This window comes from Homo sapiens, chromosome 4 (genome assembly GCF_000001405.40).
Source record: "Homo sapiens chromosome 4, GRCh38.p14 Primary Assembly".
NCBI lineage: Eukaryota > Metazoa > Chordata > Mammalia > Primates > Hominidae > Homo > Homo sapiens.
Window position 1 is genome coordinate 27,442,041 of NC_000004.12, and position 8,254 is coordinate 27,450,294.

At 38.3% G+C, this 8,254-nt stretch overlaps 1 annotated feature.

Annotated features, from left to right (window-relative positions):
- Positions 621-1,820: an enhancer, noted in NCBI's record as "CDK7 strongly-dependent group 2 enhancer chr4:27444283-27445482 (GRCh37/hg19 assembly coordinates)". NCBI's record gives its function as "activates an origin of replication core promoter dependent on BRD2, BRD4, P300/CBP, MED14 and CDK7 cofactors, with strong dependence on CDK7, by STARR-seq in HCT116 cells {active_cell/tissue: HCT116}" and the evidence as "EXISTENCE:reporter gene assay evidence [ECO:0000049][PMID:35650434]".

Below are 8,254 nucleotides of genomic sequence, written 5' to 3' on the forward strand. Positions count from 1 at the left end.
ACTGAAAAACCCAACAAAGGATTACTATCTGAAATGTATCAAGAACTCATATACTATAAAAATAAAATAGCTGAATGCATAAATGGACAAAGATTATAAACATCTGATTCCCAGGGAAGGAACCAGAAATCTCTATACTTAAATTAAAGAAATTCTTGATCACACTAATAATGAAGGAAATTAAAATTCCAGTAACAATAAGACATCATGTTACAGATTCACCAACTTGAGTATATCTTATAAGGCCAGTGTTTGCAGAGACGTGGGAGGAAAGAAACACATTCATTGTTGGTGATGTGTTGGTTGGCACAATAAGAAGGGCATGCCCTTTCTAGCCAGCAATACTACATAAACTTTCCACCCCACAGAATGATTTGCCTTTTAAGATTTCCATGTAGAAGAATTCTTACCATGGTACTGTTGATAACAGAGAAAGTATGAAACAACCTAATTGTCCCACAGAAGGGGAATGCTATATTCATACAATGAAGGACTAAATAGAATTTTAAAATAAATATGATATTTACATGCATTGATGCATTCATGTATGCACACATGAAAAATCTAAAAACATAATATTGTCTGAATAAGGAAGCCACAAAAAGATATGGAGAGTATGACAGCATTTCAGTAGAATTTAAAAAATAAGAAGTATTTCTGATGGTTTATATCGAGTGTCAACTTGATTGGATTGAAAGATGCAAAGTATTGTTCCTAGGTGTGTCTGTGAGGGTGTTGCCAAAGGAGATTAACATTTGAGTCAGTGGACTGGGAGAGGCAGACACACCCTTGATATGGGTGGACACCTGATAATCAGCGGCCAGTGTGGCTAGGATAAAAGCAGGCAGAGGAATGTGGAAAGACTAGACTGGCTGAGTCTTTTGGCCTTCATCTTTTCTTAAATTTTTTTTTGAATTTTTTTAATTTTTTTGAGATGGAGTCTTGCTCTGTTGCCCAGGCTGGAGTGCAGTGGCATGATCTCGGCTCACTGCAATCTCCGCCTCCCAGGTTCAAGCAATTCTCTTGCCTCAGCCTCCTGAGTAGCTGGAATTACAGGCACATGCCACAATGCCTGGCTAATTTTTTTGTATTTTTAATAGAGACGGTGTTTCACCATGTTGGCCAGGCTGGTCTTGAACTCCTGACCTCAAGCGATCCACCTACCTTGACCTCCCAAAGTGCTGGAATTACAGGCATGAGCCACCGTGCCTGGCTGGCCTTCATCTTTCTCCCATGCCGGATGCTTCCTGCCCTCGAACATCAGACTCCAAGTTCTTCAGTGTCGAACTCTTGGACTTACACCAGTGGTTTGCCAGCGGCTCTCGAGCCTTCTGCTACAGACTGAAGGCTACGCTCTCGGCTTCCCTACTTTTAGGGCTTTGGGACTTGAACTGGCTTCCTTGCTCCTCAGCTTGCAGATGGCCTATTGTGGGACTTTACCTTGTGATCATGTGAGTCAATACTCCTTAATAAACTTTCTTTCATATATTCAACTATCCTATTAGTCCTGTCCCTCTAGAGAACCCTGACTAATACAATATTCTTATCCAATAAGAAGGTACTCTTATCCAAGAATGTATTTAGTAACAGTTAGAAAAAAATACAAGAAATACTACATATCAAGGTGAGGAAAATGGTAATGTCTGGAGTGGAAATGAGGAGTAATGAGTGAGGGTTAATTTTTTTGTATATATGAAATTTTCCATTTTCCTCCCTTTCTCCTTCCCTCCTTATCTTCCTTCTTCCTTCTTTCTCTTCCTTTCTACATGAGTTCTTAAGCAAATGTGTCACAATTTTAAAACATTTTTTTGTTGATGGACACACAGGTTTTGTTTATATTCTTTACTTGTTTCACAGGAACAGTTATTTTAATATACAATAATACAAAATTAAATGACAACTTTGAGAGTAAGGATTCAAAATAACATTAAAACACAGATGTAATATTTACTTATGTACCAAATATCCTTGGCAAGAAATACAATAATTTTTTGTTTATTGATGGTAGCTAGACATAACTATTTGTACAAAGTCAGGAGATCAAGACCATCCTGGCCAACATGGTGAAATTCTGTTGCTACTAAAAATACAAAAATTAGCTGGACTTGGTGGCATGCACCTGTAGTCCCAGCTACACGGGAGGCTGAGGCAGGAGAATTGCTTGAACCCAAGAGGCAGAGGTTGCAGTGAGCTGAGATCGCCACTGCACTCCAGCCTGGCGACAGAGTGAGACTCCATCTCAAAATAAATAAATAAATAATAAATAAAAACTGAACAATACAGTGAACAATTATTAATTGCTGAAGTTTTAAACATTTCACCCTAATTCCTTCATATTTTTATTTTTTATTTTTTTCTCCTAACCTTGTTTTAGTGCCTTCCCTAGAAATATTTTCCTTTTTTTTTCTAGCTTTATTGAGGTACAACTGACAAATACAAATGAAACATGCTCAGGATGTACAGCATAATGATTTCATGTGCCTACACATTGTGTAATGATTACCACATTAAATTAATGAACACATACATTACCATCGATAGCTACCATGTGTGTGAGCTGAGGTGAGGTGAGTGTAGTAAGGACACTTAAAATCTTCTTTCTTATCAAATGGACAGTACAATATTATTCTTTTCCATATCTTTTAATTGTTTCATAGCTAAAAGTGAAAATTTTGAAAAGATAATTTGACTATGATGCTCTTTTCTGTTCACATTTTCTGGCCCTGACCCAGGCCCTTGTCACCACATGCCCTGTCACTTCTGGAGTCCCCTAGCAAGACCCCCAGCCTCCCATGCAATCTAGCTGGCATATTGCTTCCAGAACCTTCCTAAAAATACCATGAAGTAGCTAGAACAAGCATCAGTAAGTTCTCATTTAGAGACAACCAAAGAGACTCTGATTCACCCAAGATTTTATAGGCAGAGGTTGGACTTAAACCACTCAGGTCTCAGTCCAGTGCTTATGTCGTTATTATGCATCACCTAAAATGATTTCATGTCCTTTCTGCCTTGAAATAAACTTCAAGATTATTGCCTGTGATATATGAACATGGTTAAGAGCAGGAGGGCAAATAGATTTCACCTGTTAAGTCAAGCCAGGTTAGTTAGTAATGATAGTCTGCACTGGGTTTCTAGCGTTCTTTGGGGGTTAGCAGAAACTGGGTCCTGATCATGTCTCAAAAGCTGGAGATCTTTGCTCATACCTTGTATTTGACACCTGGGACAATCACAGACACATGGAAGGTGTTTATTTAATGATGATTCTTGACTACTTAAACGTAAGGTATATTTGTATTTCCTTTTCCATGCATGTTCACAGAGAAACACCCACATGATAAACAGGACTTTTGCGTCTTGCTTGATCTCTTTTAAACCTGGACTGTGACATTTCGCCTGCAGCCTGAGATATTGGGAAGCTAACTCCACATCACTCAGTTGAGTGGAATATTTTATTGATTCCATTGCAATTTCTTCCATCCAAGAGTGCCATTTTCTCCCTGCGAAGTGCTGATATAATTTGCATCAGGCTGAGCTTCCATAGGTGACTCCCTGCATTTCTTGGTAGTTTAAACTCATTCTCGATGCTATGCCAGCCACTTTAAGTAGAACAACAGAAGTCTGCCACAGTAAACAATCAAGCCGTTTCACTTGCATTTTTCTACCATGTTCAATGAATCTTTTCTCCCAGTTAATGTTTCTTAGTATTAACCTAACAGGACCAGTCCTAGCTTTCAGATTGTGTGTGTGTGTGTGTGTGTGTGTGTGTGTGTGTGTGTGTGTGTGTTTCCAAAGATTATATAGAAAGAGGCTCTTAAAAACCTCAGGCTCAGCTTGTCATACAAATGACATGCCACTGTCAGAATTCCTGTGTTAATCTCTGGAAGACAAAGCCAGGGCGGGAGGATGAGGCTGGCTCCGAAGCCCTCCCAGAGAGGAGAGTGCCTCTTGAAATCATCTTGCCTCAGTCAGGAGGTCTTTTACCTCCTAACTCCTCAGCATAAAATCCTGGGTGTGAAACCTTGCTCTGTTGTCATATCCGTCAAATCTGTCTCCATCTATTTCCATTATCACTGCTGAGCACAGATGGGCTTAATGATCTCTTGAAGCAAAATGAATAGAAATAGAAAGCCATGCAAAGTGAGTAAAGAAGGGATTAGGATGTCTTTCCCCATACAGCAAACACTTCATGAAGAAGAAGAAAAAGTAATTTCTTTTTCATTCTCACCATGAAAATCAAGCTAATAAACCACACGTCCTAGATTCTATACAGCGAAAAACACCCCAGAAATTACAGTAATTCTTTATATTTAGAGCATTTCCTCTTTCAACATAGCTCAGAGCTTTTAATAGGCTTTATCTCAGCCTCAAACCCCCCATGCCCTCATAAAGCTTTCTTGAACCATGTGTGAAGGGATTATATTCCTTTATTGCTGCTTTCCTTAGACCCATACTCCTGAAATTTAAGACCTCAAGCATGAGATCCTTCTCAGTGGAAACATTTTGTTTCTACTTATTCATGAGTATTGATCTTTCTACTGCCATGGCCTTTTGGACCCTTCCCTTCATGGTTTATTCTTCTTTAAGAACAATGCTGATGTTCTCTAAGCACACCATGCTGATGATTGCTTAGGAGGCAAGTTCAGATAAATGGCTTCACTATTTACAGTCCAAAGATCTAGACTTGAGGCCCAGTGTTGCCACCTACTCTTTGATCATGAGTAAATTAATTTATTGGACTCTAGTTTCTTTATCTGTAAAATAAGTGGTTGGTTCCTTTCCAGTTGCAACATTTCATGACACAATAACGCCAGTCTAGTTTGCTCCAACTCTGGCCATATTTTTCCGTCATCAATTCTTTTTTTATTATTTTTTATTTTCTTTAAGAGACAGGGTCTCACTCTGTTGCTCAGGCTTGTCTCAAACTTCCAGCCTCAAGTGATCCTCCTGGCTCAGCCTCCTGAGTTGCTGGGATTACAGGCATGAGCCATTGTGCCTGGCTTCCTTCACCAACTCCTATTCCTCTACTTTCACCAGAGCTACTCTTCCTGGGTCATCAATCTCTTGTTCATATGTGTTTTCCATCTAGAATATCTTAAGAGGTTTTTGGGGGTGGCTTTTTATTTGCGCTATTATCTATCGCAAGAAGGAAATAATATTCAACTCACTGATAAATGAGTTAAATAAAAATGATTTAATTTGAATACTTTATTGTGTTGCCGCTGACTAGCATTTAGATTCTCTAACTCCCTTTGGGATGGGGAGATAATCTAGGATTGCCATATGGTGCTCACACCATTTCCCTTATGATTATTGCGGCAGAGGTGCAATGGAGCTTAGTGTTCCATATCTATGTTCTGAGATATTTATACAAACTGAAATTATGACAGAAGACTTCCTCACTGTCTTTAGGCTGTAACTTGGTTTAAAACAGCTAAATTACAAAAAAAGTTTTAAAAACATTTTAAAGTTAGTTCTAGGCCAGGTGTGGTGGCACATGTATGTACTTCCAGCTGCTAAGCAGGCTGAGGCAGGAAGATTGCTTGAGGCCAGGAGTTTAGGCCGGAGTGCGTGATAATTGCAACTGTGAATAACCACTGCACTCCAACCTGAACATAGTGAGACCCTGACTCTAAAAACATATATAAAAATCAATCAATAAAAAAATTAGTTTTATTTTTGTGAGTTTTATTTTTCCTACAAATCCCTTTCTCATATTTTAAACCAACTGTGCTCTTTCTGGAAGGCCATTTCCTTAATATTGCTTTATAAAATATGTTCATGTTGGCTTTTGAGGCATATGCAGAGCACTTGTCTTTGGATAAGAGAATTTAGTAGTTGGCTTTTTACTTTTTCTTTCTTCTCTCCTATCTCATCCTGAAGTGAGGGTTGAAGTCTGGGGGCAAGAAGAGCAAAGCTACCAGATACTTTTGCTGGCTTGGTAATCACATAAAATGGCTTTGTGCACTTTGGGCCTGGCAGATACTGAGCAGCAACACTGCTGTGAGTTGTTTGGAGCCTCCTCCTGAGTCTTTGGGCGAGGACAATGTGTTTTGCTCTGGTTGCTGACTGCCTTTGGAAGTCCTGTTCATACAGACCTCTCTCTACTGGTGTCCTCTTGACCTTCATGCAGTCCTCTTGAAGACAAGACAAGTCTGGACACTGGCTCTCTTTGCTGCATGGCCCACATCTGGTCCATGGGAAATGCTCACCCGTTGGACACTGGCTCTCTTTGCTGTGTGGCCCACATCTGGTCCATGGGAAATGCTCACCCACTGGACACTGGCTGTCTTTGCTGCGTGGCCCACATCTTGTCCATGGTTAATGTTCACACATCGTTTGGCTTGACAAACTCTGGGAGTGCAGGACTATCATCCCAACTAACTTCTTCACTAAACAGCCCGCCAAGCCATCTCTCTTGCCTTCTAGATTTCCCACACATGAATCAGACCTTCCGAACTTGAGGTTACACATAGTAAATTCTATGAGTGGTCCTACTGAAGTGAAGCCCCTCAACTTTAGTGTTGAGGGGTTGAAACTAAAGGAAGTTGAGCTCCCATGCCTCCTTGGTTTCAGGTTTGCGTATGTTTGTGTGTGTGTGTGTGTGTGTGTGTGCGCGCGCGTGTCAGAGAGAGACTCAGCAACAGACTTAGCAGTCCATTCTCTGCAAAGGAATCTTGCCCATAAATTCCATTTGTGCCTTTTCTATCCCCTAAATGGGAAAAAAGAGATCAAAGAAAACTGCAACCAGTTCTCAAATAGTGGCTTTGAAGATTTATCCAGAAGGAACTGTCTTACACTCTCAGAGACATCTGATATGTGCTTTATTTTTGCCTTTCAGTAGAAACTTTAAATTTAATATCATATTATAAATGTCTTCATAAATTTGGCAAGAAATCATATTTTAAAATATCCATCTCTCCTCACATTCAATCTTTTAAGAAGATTAAATATCTTCCAATTACTTATTCTTTTCAAGAACTCGTTCCTAAATAATACCTGATCTCCATAAGATAAAATAAGAAATTCTTCCATTTTGGATGTTCTAAATTACAACATATTAGGATTAATTCTAAGCACCTGCTTTGTGACTATTTGCTATCCTCTGAGAATATGAAAGCCTCCAATAGAAACCTGTGGCGGGAGTAAGAAGGAAGCATTTAACAGAAGAAATGGCTCAGCCTGCTGGAGTCCATGTGGCTTCCCTCCTTCTTGTGGAGTGGCTGTGAGGTATCTTCTTAAATGCTTTAATGATGGGAAAATCACTACTTCCAGGGCCAAGAATTTCTCTGTGTTTTGTATCAGATAGAGGATGCTGTTTTGTTAATTGAACCACATATCAAACCTAGAATCCTTTGCTTTCTTAAAATCTTTGAAATGGCAAATCAAACTCGAAGAGCAGCAGGATGGAGGGTTTTGGAGAGCCCTTGTGCTGCATCTATTGTTAGAGGATCTGAAAATGAAAAGACCAACAGTGTAGTAATTCCAAGCATTTGAACGCCAAAAAGTTTTGTTGGTGAGAACTTTGTTTTGCCATTCTTTTCTAAATAAAGGCTCAAGGTGATGTAATTGAGCTACCTTGGTTTAAACAAAGAAGAAGAAAATAGAATTGATTTGATCCATCATAAAATTGAGTGGCATAAAAGATATGATTTTATATAATTTGAATGTTACTTAATTTTCATCACTATCAGAATTCATTCATGGATTAAACTGTGACAGTTCAAAGACACACTGTTTCAAAAGGGTGAAAGAGAAGTAAATGAAAAGCATTATTATAATTCTTAATTCTTCTCCACTTTTGGAGAAAATTTATATAGTAATAGCTATGTAGCTAATTTATACAACTAATGTTTTATAATAAATATATTGTATAAAAGTATATTTTATTTTATAATTTACATATATTATGAAATATTACTTATATAAATATATATAATACAAAATTGTATAATAACAATAGCTGTGTAAGGTGTCATTCTCTATGTTTTACATTATTAATCATTAATCCAAAACCTACCTGTGAGATAGTATTATCATTTTTCTTAATTCATATATGAAAGAATAGAGGTGCAGAGAGGGAAAAGTAGAGGCAGAAAAATAAATACTTGGGATTCCCAAATTCAAACTTTTAATTTCTCTCAGATTTTGGCTCTGACATCCATAATTTTCTTACTTTTAGAAATTCTCTTCTTCTCTGTCAAAATTGTACCTTTCACTTATAAGTAACAGCCAGCTAATCCACTTGCTAAAGTGT